The sequence below is a fragment of the Homo sapiens genome, chromosome 1 (genome assembly GCF_000001405.40).
Source record: "Homo sapiens chromosome 1, GRCh38.p14 Primary Assembly".
In the NCBI taxonomy this organism is placed as follows: domain Eukaryota; kingdom Metazoa; phylum Chordata; class Mammalia; order Primates; family Hominidae; genus Homo; species Homo sapiens.
In genome coordinates this window covers 10,288,734-10,309,472 of record NC_000001.11, presented here as the reverse complement: position 1 = coordinate 10,309,472, position 20,739 = coordinate 10,288,734, and the positions used below count along the sequence as shown (strand labels likewise).

At 38.4% G+C, this 20,739-nt stretch overlaps 1 protein-coding gene and 2 pseudogenes across 5 annotated transcripts in view, besides 1 other annotated feature; all 3 read right to left on the bottom strand.

Annotated features, from left to right (window-relative positions):
- The window catches only part of KIF1B (kinesin family member 1B), a 171,034-nt gene that overhangs the window by 72,131 nt on the left and 78,164 nt on the right, over positions 1 to 20,739 (bottom strand). For 3 of the 5 annotated variants that reach the window (NM_001365951.3, NM_015074.3, NM_001365952.1), the window contains 7 exons: positions 18,312 to 18,391; positions 17,351 to 17,426; positions 14,308 to 14,387; positions 13,707 to 13,813; positions 12,808 to 12,891; positions 12,396 to 12,576; positions 12,227 to 12,299 (listed from right to left, as the gene is read on the bottom strand). In NM_001365951.3, coding sequence (NP_001352880.1) covers positions 12,227 to 12,299; positions 12,396 to 12,576; positions 12,808 to 12,891; positions 13,707 to 13,813; positions 14,308 to 14,387; positions 17,351 to 17,426; positions 18,312 to 18,391 — 681 coding nt within the window. Of the gene's footprint in view, positions 1 to 875; positions 6,311 to 12,226; positions 12,300 to 12,395; positions 12,577 to 12,807; positions 12,892 to 13,706; positions 13,814 to 14,307; positions 14,388 to 17,350; positions 17,427 to 18,311; positions 18,392 to 20,739 lie in introns of those variants that run through there. The other 2 variants (NM_183416.4, NM_001365953.1) reach the window with 1 other exon arrangement.
- Positions 1,524 to 2,024: an enhancer, noted in NCBI's record as "H3K27ac hESC enhancer chr1:10367507-10368007 (GRCh37/hg19 assembly coordinates)". NCBI's record gives its function as "activates a minimal SCP1, AML or CMV promoter by ChIP-STARR-seq in primed H9 embryonic stem cells {active_cell/tissue: H9 hESC(primed)}" and the evidence as "EXISTENCE:reporter gene assay evidence [ECO:0000049][PMID:30033119]".
- RN7SL731P (RNA, 7SL, cytoplasmic 731, pseudogene) lies at positions 2,716 to 3,008 on the bottom strand (annotated as a pseudogene).
- On the bottom strand, positions 10,403 to 10,507 carry RNU6-37P (RNA, U6 small nuclear 37, pseudogene; annotated as a pseudogene).

Sequence of the window (20,739 nt, the reverse complement as noted above, 5' to 3'; positions counted from 1 at the left end):
GTTGACAACACTTAACTTCGCTTCTCACCACCAGCAGCACTGTGTGGCCACAGTCTCATCAGCACAGTGTCACTACACATATCACACTGTAATCTTCTGTGTCACCCTATAAACGGTAGGGACATTGCAACTTTTCCAACAGTTTCTCCGACAGCAAAGGATTACAAAGTACCTGAAGGAAAAGGGTATGAGGCTGGAAGCAGACCGATTCAGGCATAACACTTCTCTAAAGTTTCAGATTTCATATTAAAAACTCATGTGGATTTTGTATTCTATCCCATGATGCGTGATTATGTTGTTTTTAAACATTAAAAAATAATGTCAGGTCCAAATTTTCAATGAGACTAGTGGTCCATTCCAGAAAAATATTCTGCTTTGTCCTGTTTCCTCTCTAGTGTACCATCAATACTCTGGGTGAAGAAAAGCAGAGGTTAAAGGAGAAAGAAAACCTGCAGAGTCACTCAAAACTTTTTAGAAATTTAGTTTCTGCCCATATAAAGGAAAATAAATCATTTCATTTAAAAGAACTTCAAACCAAGAGTATGTAGAGAAAAAACTGAAAACATGGTTAAACTAAACTCAAATCAGAAAGTAATATCCTTATTCATCTTTTGTGAGAAAAGATTTTATGTAAGTGAAATGTGGCATAAAATAGGGCTGAAAGATCTCACTTAAGATAGAATTTTGTTAAACAGAAAAGGGTAGCTAAAGCAAAAGCTTTAAAACTAATCAAGTTCACATAGAAATATCAAAAAGAAGATTTAGTTTACAACCATCTTCAGATGAAAAAGCAATAAATAAAAGTCAAAACCAGGTTTAGTTAGCATTACCTTGCTTTCCTTTTCCCTCTTCCCACATAGAGAGAAATCACACTCTTAAAAGATGACTTCAACTTTTATTGAATGAGGTCTTTATTTTTTAACATTACAAACTAACACTCCCTTTCTGAAAAGGCAGATCTTACACTCAAAGACAATCTTCAAGCATTTTTTTGTTGTTGTTTAAGAAATTGAGAGGGGAAATCCACAGTTTATTAACAAGAAGATTCAAAACTTCATTTTACAGTAATAATGGGACAACACCTAATACATTTCACAATCAAAAGTGGTTCAAGCTAAGAATATCTAGAACAGATTTTAAAATCTGGGAAAGATGACATAAACTGGACAATTATCAGTATTGCTCATCACAATTTTGGCTCTAACAGTACAGGACAAATGCTTGTTTTGCACTGTGCCTAAGACGGCCCCTTCATTAAGGTTCACCAGGACACAGGCAGCATCCCCGCCTCCCAGTCATTTGTACAAATCATTAAGGCAAATCTACAAAGGACCAGTAAGGCACTGGGGCACAGCAGCTGACTGCAGGAAGTCTATGTAACTTCCGGTAGTAAAACAGCCTTTAATGCAGACATAGGTGTGAAAAATTCAGTGTTTTGTTTTTTTTTCAGTGTCAACCTGCACCTAAAGCACAAAAGGTCACTTCAAGTCACTTCAATGTAATAAACAATTCCCATTCATCACATTACCAGTGAAAAGAGAAATAATTCACTGGGCTAGAAGGAATTAGAAGCAGGAATAAAGAAAATGCCCTTTGGTTTACACTTACTAAAGAGAATGTCTTTAACTCTCCAAGGAATACCATTCCGCTTTGTGAAATTATACCAATTAATTAGGACTCCTCTATATTCCCATTAATGTCGGATCATTACATAACTTCAATAGAATAAACACTTTTTTCCCACTTTGCTATAATAATAGCTAGGGATACCTCAACAATATAATAATGGTTTAAATTATGACCATTTCTCTTTGGCCTTGTGGTATTTAAGCTTAGAGAAAAATCATGTTAAAAAAACAAACAGGCCAGGCGCGGTGGCTCACGCCTGTAATCTCAGCACTTTGGGAGGCCAAGGCAGGTGGATCACCTGAGGTTAGGAATTCGAGACCAGCCTGACCAACGTGGTGAAACCCTGTCTCTACTAAAAATACAAAAGTTAGCCAGGCATGGTGGCATGCACCTGTAGTCCCAGCTACCCAGGAGGCTGAGACAGGAGAATTGCTTGAACCCAGGAGGCAGAGGTTGCAGTGAGCTGAGATTGTGCCACTGCACTGCAGCCTGGGCGACAGAGCAAGACTATCACAAAACAACAATAACAAAAACAAAAAACAAAGTAATATGGGCCATACCAAGAGCTCACAAAAGCATGGCACTAGTTACTTATTTAGTAAGAGACTCAATTAAGCAATTTTATTCATACAGAGTTATTCTCTAGGATAAGCATTTGCTCAGAAATGCATCATGGGACATACATGGCAGTCAATAAAACCTTGGTTAATTTCTTCCTGGTCATCTGTGAAATTAAGGGATATTTTAGCTATCTAAATATTTCAGCAACATGAGGACACCTGGGATTAACAGATGAAGCACAAATATAAACCCAATTCTTTGGAATATCACTGTGGACATAGTCCTTACCACAATCCACAGCTGTAAATGAATATATTATACAACTCTTCATTCTACAGTATTACCTAATCACCAGTGGAGAGTAACTCATTCACTCCCATGAAAAGACCACTGTAAGAATGAAAATATATGGACCTACCCTATGTTATCTCAAGTTAGGGAAATGAGAGCCCATTTTTGCTACAGAGTTGAAACCTGAATAATATAATAAATATTACCTTTTTTTTTTTTTTTTTTTTTTTTTTTAAAGACAGGTTCTCACTCTGTTGTCCTGGCTGCAGTGCACTGGCTATTCATAGGCAAGATCCCATTACTGATCAGCCTGGGAGTTTTGGCCTGCTCCATTTCCAACCTGGGCTGGGTTCACCCGTCCTGATGCAAGTTTGTGGTTTCCTGCTTCAGGGACATCACCATATTGATGCCAAACTTACACCCAACTGGCATAGTGTACCACAGCCCAGAACTCCTGGGCTCTAGGGATCCTCCTGCTTCAGCCTCCTAAGTAGCTGGGGCTGTACGCATGTGCCACCAAACCTAGCAATTATTATTTTTAATCTTAGAAAATAAATTGTGTATAGAAAGGAATAGTTAGCACATTTATGTCTAAAGAGGAATAAAAAAGGACAACTGGGTTTACACAAAATGCATTGAAGTGACTGATTTGAAGCAGCCTATCAAGTACATTCAAACCAAATGGCACAGGAGATTGTCATCTCAGTAACTCAACCCATTACAGACATCATTTACCCATGTCTAATCTGCTATAAAACCTCAGTTGAAGACTTCAACTGTTCTAGCTATGAAAGCAAAAATATCTCTCAAAGCTTCTCTTTTTAAGGGGAAAAAAACATTAATTGGAAGCAACTTTCTGAGCATTAAGAAAGTATTTTCTTAGAGGCAAAGAAAAAATACTATGATTAAAAATAATGTGTTCTAATAAAGCATAGTGCCCACACGCAAAGGAAAAAAAAACATAATCACAATCTTTAAGGCTTCCTTGAATGCTAACTGCTATCTTGGCTGTAGTTTTTCACACCGTTTGGAAGACAAGTGTTTGATAGATGATTTCATGTGACTTAGGAATCTTCCAAAACATGAAGTCAGGCAATTTCGGACATCTCTGGCTCTTCACACTGCCTCTTAGAAAACTTTTTGACAAACTCAAGAGATGAGGAACGATGTAGAAAATAATTCTTTTCTTCCCATTAAAATCCATCTTTCTTAGTGGATTCTCCAGTGAGGCAAACTGAGACCACAACCAAATAAAATGAGGTATTGATACAATAAATCATCATCAGGACTTCGCCTTCCTTGTTTGAGTGTCTACAAGCATTACTAATGCTAACCAAAGAATAGTTTATTATGTATCATCTCCTTTATTCCAAGCCCAACCAAAGTTAACTTTTATTTCACTATTTCATCAACTATTGGAAAAAAGCAGCACCACAGAGCCATATGCTGTAGCTTTGTCCCCCATGTCTGTCCCACCTCTTCCCTCTCAAGCCAAATAACCTCCTTACAAGCTACACAAGTTTTTTGTTGGTATTTCTGTTGGCATGATTTTGGTGAATAGTTCACTTTGTGTGCATGTGTGTCAAATGATACATTGAACTTCAAAATGCAAACCACAAACAGAATCCCAGACACAGTGCCAATTTATAGATTCTGATATGACAAATTTCATACATATTCTGATACATTCAAAAGAAAAAACCATTATATGAGTTTTTTGTAAAATACAGAATAAAAGAAGACGTGGAAGTTGTGTGGAAGATGCAAAGCTATGTATTGCAAGATATGTTTGAAGACCTTTAGTTTTGGCTTACGAAAATTCTAATCATATTTAAAGAAGGGAACAGACGTGGATGAGAAATCCAAAGCTGTGCCCACCCAGTTGCATGTTATTATTTTTAAACCAATTTCTAACATTTATGAATAACAGACATTTAATTCTGCTTATCAAATTCTCCTTTTGAATGTCTGCATAAACTAAGAGGCAGGTCTTTCTGGATGTCAGATTAATTTATAGGCATTATAAAAACATAACAAACTTACATCAAGATGGGACAAGTCTGTGTAAGTAAGTATATTAATTAGGCACTAAAAAAGGAGGAACGTTTCAGAAAAAGGAGTTCTTGATGCTTTATCCAAAATTTCAGAAACTGCCCATTTATGGTATACAAGCAAAAGGGAGGTGTTGAAACTTTTACCAGTGTTTTGTCTTAACAATATAAAACCAGTTAATATTTATAATGTAAATAATAAGAACTCAAGGCCAAAGGTAGAACCAAATCAAATCATGAGCTAACACTGTCTGTTTCTTCCACCATGATTTCAAGTTTGTCCAGTAACTGATTTATACTGTGGTTTCTCGACCAGCTTTGAGATTGGGTGCTGAGAACTGTCTCCTCATCCGCGGAGGTGTCACAAACTGGCTACAGTGGCTGGGTTTGTCAGTCTGCTTCTGATAGGAAGTGGCTGCATTGCCCTCTAACTGACCTCCAGTGTTATAATTACAGTAAGACTGACGGTGTTGATGAATATGGCGCTTTGCCTGGAAAGTCTGTACATCAGCAGTGGGGTGACCACTGTGGGAGTTTAATGACTCCGCGGAGGCAGATGCCTGGCAGCGCGTACTTTTCGGCTGGCCATTATTGAGAGAATTGCTTCTCCAACGTAGTTGAGGTGGCTGTTGCTGATTATTAATGTGCTGCTTGCTAACTTGGATGTGATCTTGACTTCTCATTCCTTGAGAGCCCCATGGAAACTGGGGATCCTTAAAAGCTCCTTTACCCCCTTTTTCTTGGCTCTCTTCTTTATTCCCTTTCCTTGCTTCATCGTCTTTTGGAATCCTAAGCTCTATAACCTCATCTTCTGTTATGATGATATGTGTCCCAGGACTCCAAGAGTTTCTGTGTTTAGGGTTGCTCTTAAAGGGGAAGCGGGGCTTCCGGTTCTCAGGAGGGATGAACCTATGAGGTACATTCTGCCGACGAAGCTGCTTTGTTATCTCCTGCTGTTGCAAGTTCTTAAACCGAATTTGCTCTTGCCTCATCCAGCGCAGACGTCCACGTCTAAAAGCTGGATCCCCATTCATCAGCTGGGAAACACGTTCTTCTTTTGCAAGTTCTCCATTGTCTCCTTTACTTACATTATTCTCAGAGGTGCTACTAACACCAGCACCAACAGGCTCCTTTGCTTTGTGGCTTCCTGGGCTTTTCTGTTCCTGAGATCCGATCAGTGGCAAGACTTTTTCCATTTTGAGCATTTTATTTCTTAAGACTTTTATCTCCTCGTCTTTCATGTTATTTTGCTTTTTGACTTCTTGCAAAATATCTTCCAGCTTGTCTATATGAACCTTGAGGTCATCTACATCAGTGCTGCCTTTCCCAGTGGCCATGACGTCTTCGATCTTCTCATCCCCAACACCGACGGTATCCCAGACGTCCCTGGCCACTGCCCTCCAGGAGTCCCGCTCATTGGGGTCTTTCTTGCCATACATGGCACAAAGCTCCTTCATCTTGACAATGGCCAGGGCTTCAATCTCCTGCCGACTGTGCCTGAAGTCATTGAGAGCAACCTCATAGCAAATCTCTTTGACAGCCTGAATTTTAAGATCTGAGATTGTGACCCACTTGGAATCTTTACTCAAGCGCCTTCTTTGGGGTATCTGATACATTTTAATTGGTTCACGTTTCTTCCCACTGCTTGGGAGGCCACATTTTTTAACAATGGTTTGCAACTTGCTGGGAGGTAGCTTTTCTCTCAGAGAAGTAATCAGTTTCCAGCTCTCTTCACACGACCTCTTGTCAGAATCGTCCCCGCTATCAGAATCCGCGTCCTTTGGAAAAACAAAATCAAAAAATGGCCCCAAAATAACCAAAATTAAAATGTAAAAAAGGAAAATTAAATCGAAGAAAAAGCAAGCAAAAAAGCCTTAACCAAATTTAAAAATAAGACCAAAAAAACTAAAAAACAAAACAAAACCAAAAAAAACCCCTCAATAATGTGGAAGTCTATTAAGACATACGCCTATGTACATTTCTATCAATATAAAGATTTGCTTATTTGGCATCCCTAATCCAAATTTCCACTTTCTGGCTTAAGTGATGAAATTTGCCACCAAATTTCTTAGGAGAATTGACAACAGGGATGAGTATGTCACCCTATGGTCATACAAAATTATTCAAATGGCGTGACTTAACGACCTCACTATTCGAAGAAAATGAAGTAAAACCTAGGCCCCACACATCATGCTAACAACCCATGCAGACACTTCCCCACATTTGCCTTGGTTATTGCTGTTGCTTCTTCCAGAATCTCTTTCCCCCATGAGTGAGCACAGATGCCATACAAAGATGTGACGAGCAGGCGGATTAACAAAGGTTAGTAAGGCTGTAGGACGCCAGGTTTTGTTTAGCTTTACTAAAAAGAGCAGCCCTAGAAAAAAGTTAGAAGATGAGAATGTAGAAAAAGAAGCAGTCAAACAGGGATGATGTTAAAAATGCTAAGAATCCCTATGAGCAGACCATGTCAGTTCTTAGTCAACCAAATGTTTTCTTCTGTAAGACAAGAGGGTTTGGAAATCATCTTTCCATGAGCAGAGGATTTGCTATTTTTTGTCATGTTAAATGTATCCATTTCCGTCGTACGATTAAAGTGTGTTATCTGGATAACAAGAAAGCTTTTTTTTTAAAGGATCCTCATAGTGGGTGTGTTTTGTCTTGTTTTTCACACACACAAATCAATAAAGACCTCACCTCCAAAATTTTGAGAAATAAATTACCCGAACAAAAATAAAGCTGGGCAAATATACTTCCACTGAATATAATTTAAAATTCCCCAAGTCACATTTTAATAAGTACAACTTAGAGATATTTTCTATCTAGAAAACCCAGGACATTTTTAGCTATTTGAGGAATATCACTTTAAGTGACAACTCTTCCAATAAACACATAAAACAGAAAGATCATACTCTGGTTACATAAAATTGATCCACTTTAAAAGGTATGTTTAACTCTGTCTTTCCAGCTGTCTTTGCACCATTGCCTCTTTTTCAGAAAACCTTACTTAGCCCTAAAACAGCAGCCTGACTTCACAACAATGTAATTTCAAGGGCTGTATAGATAATAAGCAATCGCTCTTAACTAATACAAGCAAATCTTGATAACATGGATCTCTGGGAAAGCAATGTTGGATTTAGAATTCCAAATAGTAAGTGGGATTAGAAAGAATTTCTATTCGGGAGATAAAAGTTGCTGGGAAAAGAAAATACTCAGCTGCTCTGCCTATGAAGTAGCCATTCTTTATTGCTTTACTTTCTTTCTTTGTTTCTTTTTTTTTTGAGACAGAATCTTGCTCTGTCGCCCAGGCTGGAGTGCCCGATCTCGGCTCACTGCAACCTCCACCTCTTGGGTTCAAGTAATTCTCCTGCCTCAGCCTCCCGAGTAGCTGGGACTACAGGCACCTGCCACCACGCCTACCTAATTTTTGCATTTTTGGTAGAGATGGGGTTTCACCATGTTGGCCCGGCTGGTCTTGAACTCCTGACTTCAGGTGATCCACCCACCTTGGCCTCCCAAAGTGCTGGGATTACAGGGGTGAGCCACCGCACCCAGCCTATTCCTTTATTTTCTTAATAAACATGCTTTCACTTAAAAAAAAAATACTCAACTCACAGATGAGTAGTTCAGGGCAGTCTAGTAAATGAAAATAGTTACTAACAGTCAATCTTTTATTCACTGTGGTTACCAAAAATATCTCTAGAAGAGTTTGTTTGCTTGAAACTGATAAATAGTACCTTGCCTCCTAGACCAAAGTTTGTTGTTTTTGTTTGTTTCTTTGTTTGCTTTGTTTTTTGAGACAGGGACCCAAACTGGTCTCAAACACTTGCGCTCAAGTGATCTTCCTGCCTTAGCCGGGACTACAGGCACACATCATCACACCTGACAAAACCAAAGATTTGCCTGTATAGTCACTTTCTAAGGAACAAAAAAGTAACTTTCCACAATAATAATAATAATTTGGCCTCTGAATTTAAAAATCTTGCCACTGATTTGTATTATTTCTATTGACCTACAAATGAGTACTAAGCCCATTTATAACTCCCACCTATTTGATAACTTACCAACAAAAGTTTGCTAAATTTACACAGACTCTACATTAATTTTTCTTTTCATTTTTAGTTTTTAAAATCATAATGGCTAATTTTAAGTGATAAATATGACATTCATAAATATTAGAGAAAAAACTATGTCTGACTCCTGAAGAGGATTTTTTGCAAATATGTATAAACTGAATTTTACAGAACATAAACAAATTATCTTTGATTCTTTCCCACATAACCAACAACTATCACTTTTTTTCTGGCTGTTTTTCTTTTCCTCTTCAAATTGCTTAAGGATGAAATGAATATTACCTAATTCAGGAAATGACAAGTATTCTAAGAATTGTTTTAATATCATGCTTAAGAGACAAAAGTTATCTTTAAACTCTAAAATAAAATATAAATAAGTCTATATAAATCCAAAAGAACTCAACTCAAGTAAAATCTAGCAGCTGTCATTTTCTTTCTTTTTAAAATACTGCCATTTTGACTCTGTAGAGTATGTCCTCTTTAAAGTTCAAATGTATCACCCTGTCACATATTGATGGTGATACTAAAAACTGTATGCAAAGTTTATGTGATATAAATCCTATCTCCATGTCAAAAAAAGAATTTTTTATATTTATCTATATTATTATTATTATTATTATTATTATTATTTGACACTGAGTCTAGCTTTATCACCCAGGCTTGAGTGCAGTTGCGCGATCTTGGCTCACTGCAACCTCCGCCTGCTAGGTTTAAGCAATTCTCCTGCCTCAGCCTCCCAAGCAGCTGGGATTACAGGTGCCCACCAAGACGTCCTGCTAATTTTTGTATTTTCAGTAGAGATGGGGTTTCACTATGTTGGCCAGGCTGGTCTCGAACTCCTGACCTCAAGTGATCTGCCAGCCCTGGCCTCCCAAAGTGCTGGGATTACAGGCGTGAGCCACCGCGCCTGGCCAGATTTTTAAAATATTTAGATTCATTTATTAAGGAGTTGGAAAAGCTACTGAGGTCTGGTCAATTCACATGTCACAAAATGATCCTTCGGCTTTCATTAAATGCCAAATGCAAAGTAGGCCTCCTAAAGAGACTCTGCAAGGAACTTATGCAAATAAGAAGAGAGAAGATCCCAAAACTGTGTGTAAAAAGCAAGCACAGAAAGGACCAGGGTATCCTAGAGCACTAACTGAAGAAAATACTCAGCACCCTAACAATGTGATGCATTTGGGAACTATCAGAATAGAAAACTCATGAGCCTGAATTCCATTGTTTAATGCTGACATTATGCAAAAAGTGATTACATATGGTAAATATTAAATAAATATTTACTGATTAATAATTCCTTTGTATTCTCTCAATGTTTATTCACAGGGTGCATTAGAAATACATCTGTTAATTGACCAATACAGGGTAATATATAAAGACATTTTCCATTCAGTATTACTACTGGTAGATATTCTTCAGGCTGAAGTGTTAGAAATCAGTTCCTCCCTTAAGTCAAGAAATGAAAGTGGAACAGACAGACCTTTGAGAGGAAAGCAACTTCCTTGCTTTAAGAAGCTGCTCTTGAAATCCTGGCTTGCTTTCAGATACACAGAGCAAACAACAACCAGAATCTGATTATCTGCAGGGTATGTACATTCCCTAGAAACTAAATACGTCTTAGACATTCACTTTCTCTTTATTTAGTGGCCATCTTTATTTTAGGGCACAGAATGATCACCAACTCTTGGTTATGGATAGCACCAGGCATCCTTATTCTGCCGTGCTTAGTTATTCTTTTTTTTTGTTTGTCTTGTTTTGTTTTGTTTTTGTGGTTTTTGTTTCTTTTTTTTTTTTTTTAAATATGGAACGCTTCACGAATTTGCGTGTCATCCTTGCGCAGGGGCCATGCTAATCTTCTCTGTATCGTTCCAATTTTAGTATATGTGCTGCCGAAGCGAGCACCGTGCTTAGTTATTCTAAGTGAGGTCCCAGGATCCACCTGCCTAGGCTTCCCAAAGTGCTGGGATTACAGGCGTGACCCACCGCGCCCAGCCAAGTTTTGGTTTCCTCAACTGGAGGTAATATTACATATTTTACTTATACATATGCATAAGTAAACAAAGAGGGTTGTTTTGAGGGTCAAATAAATTGATGGATGTTAACGCTCTCTGTAAATTATAAAGCACTATACAAATACAAGGCATTATTGTTAATAATAGAGCTTAATTACACCTGTCCTCATTTGATCTCTCACAGACCATCAGAGGCATGTTATTAGAATGTACTACATTATTAAGATAAAAGACATCTTCTTGTGTCACAAACCTTTCAAGCCACTAATCACATTGTAGCTAGTTCTTTCCGTTTTCATTAAAAACTTAATGCTAAAAAGGCCTCCTAAAGAGCCTCTGTTGGTAACACTGCTATTATCTTGCCCCAAACCCTTGATTTATTCTTACAATCCATTCTTTTTAGGGCTTTACTATAATTTACAAGATAACAAACTAACTGGTTTAATCCATGCCCATGCCTGAGAACTGAGGTATTCTGGAAAAGGTTGCTTGTGCTCAAGTCCTTCACGTTTCTGGCCCACTTAGCACTAAGCCCCTTCTTCTCCAAAGCACAGAGCATGACTAGAAGGCTGTAGTTTACATGCTGTATTTTATACTAAGGAAAGAAGCCAGTGCTTGAACTTTCTCCCTAATGCCCCCTTACCTTAAAAGAAAGATACAACTGAATCTTAAAAAATGAGAACTTCCTAAACTGCATCCACAGTATCCAAAGGTTAGTTATACTTTATTCTTACATATCAAATGAATGCTGAGAAGGTTCTTATAACCACAGCTTTGTTAACCAAAATTGGTTGTTTGGTTGGCTTTAAAAATGAAAATCTAACTAATGGATCAACTTATTTATTCATGAGATTCAGTTTCTATCAAATCTGGGAAATCAATTACCATTATAAAACGCTGAAGCCATTAGTATTGTATCAATAGCTGGGACCTTAAACAGACTTTCCAGCTGCTCACTCAAATCCTCCTTCCCTCAAAGGAAGCAAGCCTTCTGTCCTGTCCGGGCTGGGTATGCAGCCTTTGCTCCCACCGCTACCACACATGCCACTGAGAACCTGATTGAGAATTCAGACTCCATGCAGGGGATAAGGAAAGGAGTAACACATGCAACTGTGCAGCAACACTTTTAGACACAGTTTAACTTAAAAAAAAAAAGTCTGCCCAGCGTAAGAACAATCCCAAAGTCAGCCCAAGAGCAGAGAATTAGTACTATCAAGTGATCAGAAACAAAACCAAGGCAAACTCTCACCAAATTCAATATTCAGAGTAATTATCATTTAAAGAACCACCACTGAAGCAAATTCCAAAACCACTATCAAGAGGCAAAGGCTACCAGAAAAGCTCTATTTCCTTAAAAAGTATTTGGTTGTAACAGAAGTTAAGATTTGGCTTTAAGACATAAAAAGCCCAAAAGAGTACCTCTGTGGACTATTTTTTCAGGCTAAGGCTACCGGGAGATTTAAGTTCATTCTCCATTAAGGAAATTAAAGAATAGTGCTTGGTATCATTGAGACAGAAGCAATTTGGGTGAGTACTGCTCTGTGGAACAGGGAAAGTATGGGAACAAGCTGCCCTTTTCCCAACAGTTTAGCAGATTCAGGACTCCTACCAGTCTCTGCTGCTCCAAAAGAAGATCTGCTTCTTCCTTCTCCTTTTTGTATAAGATCTCCATTTCCTGTAGCCTAGAAGTAAAAAAAAAAAAAAAAATTCAAGAATGCTATTAGTATTACATGTTTAAAAGAAGAAACAGTCATATGGGCTGCGTAACTGTGCATTACCTTTTCTCCATCTCTTGTTTCATATCAATTCCTTGTTTTTCCAGAAGCTCCCTCTGGGCAAATGTCCAGTCCACAGGCTCAGAGGGGGTCTCAGCAGAAGGAGTCTTCTCTCGCTCAGCTCGTGCTTGTTCCGGGTGGTTAAAGCGGAAAACATGGTTTTTACCCATGATGATACGGTTTCCTAGCACAAAACAGAAAAATAGGGTTAAGAAATAATTTTTTTAATATATAGTATCTATTTAACAACCTCACCCCTCCCTAATGTGAAAAGACAGCTTTCAGAGCTGTTGTTTTTACAAGAACAAAAATCCTAATGCTGACTATTACTTCAGCCTTTAAACAGCCAAAAATTAGAGTTGTCACAGAAGCCATGTGCACATTGCTGAAGATGGCAAACCTCTCCCAGTCTCACCTGAGCGCAGCTGAACAGGCTGGGACACCCTCTTGCCATTTACGTAGGTTTCTGAGCGCTCACAGGGCTCTAAGGTCACGATAACTAAGAGGAACAAACACAAACTAATGTTATCATTACAAACTATTGGAATCAAATAATGGAAAGCAGTTGCTTATCAGGATTTGCAGTAAGTAGAATAAATCCCTGCAATCAATCAAGTGGCTGAAGTTGTCTATACAGTAGTTCATTTTGGGGTACCAGAACTAGCCCCAATAGAAGAGGCTATCTGTGGCCATGGCTAACACAAGAACATTTAACTCTATTTGATAAACCTAAGAAGATGATAGGAAATATTAGTTTCAGGGATCTCTGACGGTTCAGTCAATAAAACTCAGAACCATCAGAAATTGTAAGGATGAGATATAGGTAATAACCAGAAACTAAAGACTGAGAAGCTAATATTTTGATAAGGGAATGAGTGACTTATATAACAGAAAAAAACCATTAAATTGTTGTTTTGTTAATAACCCAGGCAAAAATCAAGACTGACTTTTTCTTCCCTTTTAGATAAAAATAAATTCTGCTGGGTTGACTTAATGTCCTTCAAATCTCCTATTACCCAGGATATCTGCTATTTTCTTACTTTTCTATTAAATAATTAACATTCCAGACCAAGCCTAATTGCCTATGTCCTTCTCAGTTCTTGGCAGTAAAAAAGGGCTTCTTTTGTCCAAGCTATTTTCATGTAAAGCAGCCTTGTCCATCTCTGCATTCATAAGCAGCCCAGGTCTCTCCATTTTTCAGAATTAGATTGTATAAGAAAGTACTACTGATAGACAGAGAATACAAAGTCTTAAGGATTTCTCATAATATAAAATGAAAATGTTGTTGCTGAAGCTCCAGCCAGGAATGCTCACCTTCCCCGCTGTTGCTTCTCTCACTCCGGAAGATACAATGCTCTTCTTTAATGTGAGCCCCGCTCAGCACTATGTCCTGGCGCCGCTCAGCATCTGCTTGGCCAACCCTGAACACAAGAGAAAGTGTTTCCCAGGGAAATTCAGACACAGAAAGCACTACAAACAATGAACCTCTTTATTCCAAAGAATATCCTTTGGTACGTACAAAAAAGGTATTGCCTTGTTGCATCAGAAGCTTTCAACTATGAATTCTATCCTCACATATGATCAACCTCTCTACATCAGAATAAGAAACAAGGAGCACTGATATACCAATGTAACTCATACAGTATTATAAAGACATGAGTCAAATAAAATCCCTAAGGAATGTATATTTGTTAAAGGAAAAAAAAATTATTTAGGGTCTTCAGAGAAAAACTACATAGTAACTGGCTCCAGTGGCAAAAACACATTATTTGGAAAGAGAGCATAGTTTGTAACTATTTCAGACAAAAAATACAGCAAATCATTACGTTAATTTTTTCAACCCCTTCCCTTTAGTTATTCAATTATCTAAGAGGGGGAAAACACACGAAGTGACCAAAACAGGAAATAAATATACCTTGTAATTCCATCTTTGATGTAATAAAGTAGGCACTCAGACATTAGTGGGTCTTCATTGAGGTTAACAAGATGTGGGGTCTGAAAAAGATTACAGATGATCAATTTGGAGCAGGGCACCATGAGAGAGCTGTGGTAACAACAGGGGCCTACAAGAGGCCAGGCTTCTCCAACTCTCCACAGAGCCTAGAGAGGGATTTCTTTTTATCCCTAGTTGCGGTTCCATAATAAAGAGAAAACACTCTCTTCAGGCCTCACCAAACGGAACCAAGTGCATTCTATTTTATTTTAATTAATTAATTAATTTGAGACAGAGTCTCGCTCTGTCTAGAGTACAGCGGCATGATTTTGACTCACTGCAACCTCTGCCTTCCAGGTTCAAGTGATTCTCCTGCCTCAGCCTCTCAAGTAGCTGGGATTACAGGTGTTCGCCACCACGCCTGGCTAATTTTTCTATTTTTAGTGGAGGCAGGGTTTCACCATGTTGGCCAGGCTGGTCTCGAACTACTGACCTCAACTGACCCACCCTCCTTGGCCTCCCAAAGTGTTGGGACTATAGGAGTGAGCCACTGTGCCTGGCATTCCATTTTAAAACATGAGTTCTGGGATAAAAAAACAAGACCTAATTTTTGATAAGGTCAAAGCACAAGGAAAAAATGACAGGCCAATTCTCTGAACGGAATAATTATAATTTTTGTAAATGCCTGGGTAAAAATCTCAAGAAATATTTACTTTTATTAAAATGTCCCCATACCCCCCCACCACTTCCCACTATAATTTTTATCAGTTCTTCTGATCCCAGTTATTAATTTGTCTTTACCTTAAAAGATTTTAATTTATTAGTCTTTACCTTAAAGAAAAAAGTAAAATTACTGATATTCGATAAGATAAACATCTTCTAACAATCCTCTTCATCTAACTCTAATATTTCTAAAATCTTTTTAAAAAACCAACCTTCTTTAGTGAAAATAACCCACTGGAATCCAAAAATAAGTCACATGGTCTTGAGGCCAAAATCTACTCAAGAGAGTGCCAGCAAATGTGGAAGAATGAAAGAAGAGTCAGATGAGGGGGTAGGAAAAGGAACTATAAAAGATGGTTAAAGAGAAATCTGAAAAACCTCCACATCTTCTCAACTAGCATCCCCCTTTGTAGTTGAAGAACTTGACTGGTTTGAGAAAGTCAAAGCCCTTTGTGAGTAGCATTCTTTAAAGCACATCATAATTTGAAAAATGGAATCTCAGAAACAGGTCCTAAGACTGAGTTTGGATGTGGTCACTGGTATATCCCTTCCTTTCATGAAGAAGTCTAGAAAGCTAAAGCAAGATGGGTAAAATTAAAGTAAGAAAAAGCTTTGGAAGCAGAGATCTCACTTTGGAATTCCATGCAGTGTACATCTCAACATTTGTTCAAGTTATTTATGATTTATGTTAAATGCATAATATTTTCACTAGTTGTTATAATAAAAATTTTCCAGCCAGGCACAGTGGCTCATGCCTGTAATCCCAGCACTTCGAGAGGCTGAAGTGGGTGGATCACAAAGTCAAGAGATCAAGACCACCCTTGGCCAACATGGTGAAACCGTCTCTACTAAAAATACAAAACTTAGCTGGGCGTGGTGGCATGTGCCTGCAGTCCAGCTACTTGGGAGGCTGAGGCAGGAGAATCACTTGAACCCGGGAGGCGGAGGTTGCAGTGAGCCAAGATCACACCACTGCAGTCCAGCCTGGCGACAGAGTGAGACTCTGTCTCAAAAAAAAAAAAAAAAAAAAATTTCCTCACAGTCTTTAATACTGTAAGATGTTATAAAATACCTTTATTAGACATATGCATAGGCACAATTAAATTCCACCAAAACTGTAACTGCTAAAATCTATATAATCCTAAGTAACATATCTGAATGAATACATGTCTTACTGAAGGAAAAACTATTAAAACTGTGAAAACCACTAACCTTTCATAATATAAACATATAAAATACTTAACTGTTCTATTCTACAATATGCATCTAAAATGTCTTTACATCAGTCTTTTCTGTTGAAAATAACACATTGGAATTTGGGAAGAAAAAAAAAAAAAAGTTATGTGGCCAGGATAGAAAAACCTGACCAGAAGAATTGTAGCGAAAACCACAGGAATATTTCATATCACATAAAAGTACCAATTCAAAACTCACCACCCCTTGTATCCTAACTTAGAGAGATCATCAACAGAACCTATGAATAAAGATGTTTAAGTCTCCAATAGCCAATGTGAGGTCACTTGAAATAAAGGACAATTTACTAGTGGCATAAAATACATGCTTTGTACATCGATATATGTTCTCCTATTTTCTGATACATAAGCACACAAAATAACCATTTGATAGTCATTTTCTAGTATCCAACAAGACGTTGCAACTTAGTTTAAGAAAAAAACAAAAAAACCCTTACTACTCTAATTAGCTAAAAGCTACGTAACTACTTCATAACTATGATTATGTAAAAAGGAAGGTAACTATTGGAGACACTTTTTAAAAAATGAAGAAGGAAGCAGAGGAGTCTAGAAGGATAGGGACAGGAATTGCTTTACTTAGTACAATGGCTGTCTATAATACAAATTGCAGAAGCAAATGGAAGCAGTATTATTCTCCACAAACCTGTACAGCTGAAATTGGTTCCAAAAAGTTATAAAGCAGGGTAGACGACTTCTGTGGGAAAATCTACATGAAAGAGTAGCCAAAACTGAAAGTACGCTAGGTTAGGCTGGGAATTTAAGAGAAAGCAACAAATAAAGATGACTAAACAAACTGAATCATGGCCAAAGGTTACATATTGCCTTAGGTTTTTTCTTTTGTAAACAGTAAACAAGATAGGCATTTTAGAAATAGGCTGCCTTTGTACTATAAGACCATGCTCTAAGATGAAATCAGAAATATCTGAAATTAAGGCAAGTATCAAGATAATAAGGGGGAGAGTAGGTCCTGAAAGACATGAAGTGCCCCAGTAACAAAGACAAACAAAAAGTGTCTCTGTCTGATTAGGTTTCACAGCATTGTTTCCTACCTTTTTAGGTGAGAAAACCCCTAGGGTTCCTCCATCTTCCCGAATGGCAACTCCCATCTCAGCCAACAAAGCCTCTCTAGGAAAAAAACAGGTATATCAGAACACTAATACCAAAATGTCAATTAAATCAGTCTAATATGAATTGGAAAATAAAGCCTGCAAAGCAAAAACAACTGGCCATGTTTATAGCCAATAATGCAAACATAAAATAATGTGCTTATCTCATCATTAATGAGAAGTTATTTCTAAAAGCAACATCACATTCAAAATCAATGAAATCTTGCTTTGTTAAAGTTATATTCACTGAGATAAGAACTTTGTCTCAACTGACTTTGGGATAGTCAATAATTCATAAATGATATGCATATTAATATAAAAAAGAAAAGAAGAGGCTATTCCTTTTTTTTTTTTTTGAGACAGAGTCTTGCTGTCACCCAGGCTGCAGTGCAGTGGCACCATCTCGGCTCACTGCAAACTCTGCCTCCCAGGTTCACGCCATTCTCCTGCCTCAGCCTCCCGAGTAGCTGGGACTACAGGTGCCCACCACCATGCCCGGCTAATTTGTTTTGTATTTTTAGTAGAGATGGGGTTTCACCATGCTAGCCAGGATGGTCTCGATCTCCCGACCTCGTGATCTGCCCACCTCAGCCTCCCAAAGTGCTGGCATTACAGGCGTGAGCCACCGCGCCTGGCCAATATGTTCCATTTTTATGAATCCCTAGCAACATGTAATATGGTAACTAATAAACCTGTGACTCCCTAGATAATATTTAAATATGTAGATGTCATTTCAAAGCATAAATTCAACTGGCCATAAATCCCTGTCCATTTTTTTGGTTTCGTTTTGTGTTTTAGAAGGGCAGACTCTTTGATTTTAATTTATATTTTATCTTTTCTTACGATAAAGTAATCCACATCCCCTAGAAAACTTAGAAACATTTCCAGATTTTAACCTCCTGACCTCTCCATTCTGATGGCCTCTGTTTTACGAAGCTTCTCTTCCCAAGTTTCATTCAACTCAGCAATGATCTTCTCTGATTCCTAAGGAAGGAAGCGCACAGTTAAAGAGGCAAAGAGTCTTATAATTTAACATACCATGCTAGAAAAGCAAGAAGCAAATCATGCCCTTTGAGGATACAGGCCAGAATTAAATGTAAAGAGATTTTTCTTTTATTAATACATAAGATAAGAATCATAAAGATTAGACCTAAAACTAAATCAACCCCAAACAAATAAATCCTCCAAGTCTTTTTTTTTTTTGAGACGGAGTCTTCCTTTGTCACCAGGCTGCAGTGGCGCGATCTCAGATCACTGCAACCTCACCTCTGGGGATCAAGTGATTCTCCTGCCTCAGCCTCCCGAGCAGCTGGGACTACAGGCACGTGCCACCACGCCCAGTTAATTTTTGTATTTTTAGTAGAGACGGGGTTTCACCATGTTGGCCAGGATGGTCTCAAGCTCTTGACCTCGTGATCCACGTGGGCATGGTGGCAGGCGCCTGTAATCCCAGCTACTCAGGAGGCTGAGGAAGGAGAATGGCATGAACCCGGGAGGCAGAGCTTGCAGCGAGCCGAGATCGCGCCACTGCACTGCAGCCTGAGCAACAGAGCAAAACTCCATCTCAAAAAAAGAAAAAAAAGAATAAAGTTCCCAAACGTATTTACTGCTTTTGTTTCACTACAATTTCGCCATAACACACTAACCTCCTGAACACAACCCAGCAGTCAACATAGAAAGGTTTACTATTAAATCGCATCTGAAGACACACACTGAAGTGACAATTTACCAATCACTTGCTGAGTGTTTACACTTATATAAATATAAGAACCTAATGCATACAGGGTTTAAAACCCAGATAACGGGTTGATAGGGGCAGCAAACCACCATGGCACATGTATTCCTATGTAACAAGCCTACACATTCTGCACATGCATCCTGGAACGTAAAGTAAAATTAAAAAAATAAATTAATTAAATTAAATTTAATTTAATTTAAAAAGAACGAAAACATGTTTCCTGCTCTCAAGGAGGTTACTGTATACCAGAGAGAGAGAGAGAGAAGTAAGTGATGATTTATTCATTCAATACTTATATACAACCCCATTACATATCAAGCCTTCTTCAAGGCACCTATGGATATGTCAGAGAACAAAATCTCTGCCTTCATAAGATTTACATTGTAGTAAGGAGACTGATATAATCCTATTATTTATTTTGTTTGTTTGTTTGTTTGTCTGTTTGAGACAGAGTCTCATTCTGTCATCCAGGCTAGCGTACAGTGGTGCGATCTCGGCTCACTGCAACTTCCACCTCCCAGGTTCAAGCGATTCTCCTGTCCCAGCCTCCTGAGTAGCTGGCACTGCAGGTGCACACCACTATGTCCGGCAAGTTTTTGTATTTTTAGTAGATATGAGGTTTCACCATATTGGTCAGGCTGGTCTTGAACTCCTGACCTCAGGTGATCGGCCCGCTTCAGCCTCCCAAAGTGCTGGGATTACAGGTGTGAGCCACCGTGCCCCGCCATGATATAATCCATTTTAATCAATAAGTACACAGTATGTCAGATAGTGGCAAGTGCTCCAGACAAAAATAAAGCAACAAGAGGAAAGAACACATGGGGAAGGGTAGGTGAGGGAGCAATCTAAAGTGAGGTTGTCAGGACAGGCCTCACAGACTCAGTGATATGTGAGCAGAGATCAAAGAAGAGCAGAAGCTGCCATGTGGGTATGCTGAGAGTGGGAAAGTACCTGGAGTTTTCTAGGAATAATGTGTTGCTAGAGCAGCATGTCTGAGGACTGAGAACGAATACAGTAGGAGATAAGAGAACAGTGTACTAAGAGCTAGAACTGGAGTATTCACAGGTCTCTGTAACATGGGTGAATCAAGGCTGAGTGAGGCCCAGACAGAGAAATGAAGGACAAGTAGCAATTAGGCAAAGAATGGAAGGAAAAGGAGTACAAAAAAGGGGGACGAGCACATGCCAAAACAGGTGAAAATGCTGGTCATGGAGATGAAGTAAGAAAGTCAGATGATGATAATGAAATATAGTAATGATGCTAGTAGTGATTAACAAGGAAAAGTGTTATAGTTCATCAAACACTTCAATGTATGATTCATATGATAACAGGTTACTAACGAAGCCTGTGACCCCAAAACGTAAATATCTACACAGAAAGGACTTGTGAGTAATAAACCTTAAGTTGTCTAGTGTTTGACTTTCTGGATCTCTTGGACTTCCAGAATATTACATGACTGGATGTCACCTCAAAACAAAAAACATACCAAAGGCAAGGCAAGGGAACACGTGAAAAAAGCAAGAGTAAAGATTCAAAGCAGCAGCTGCAAAAGCAAAGTAGTATATGAGTTTGGTGGAACAAATAGGAGGGTATG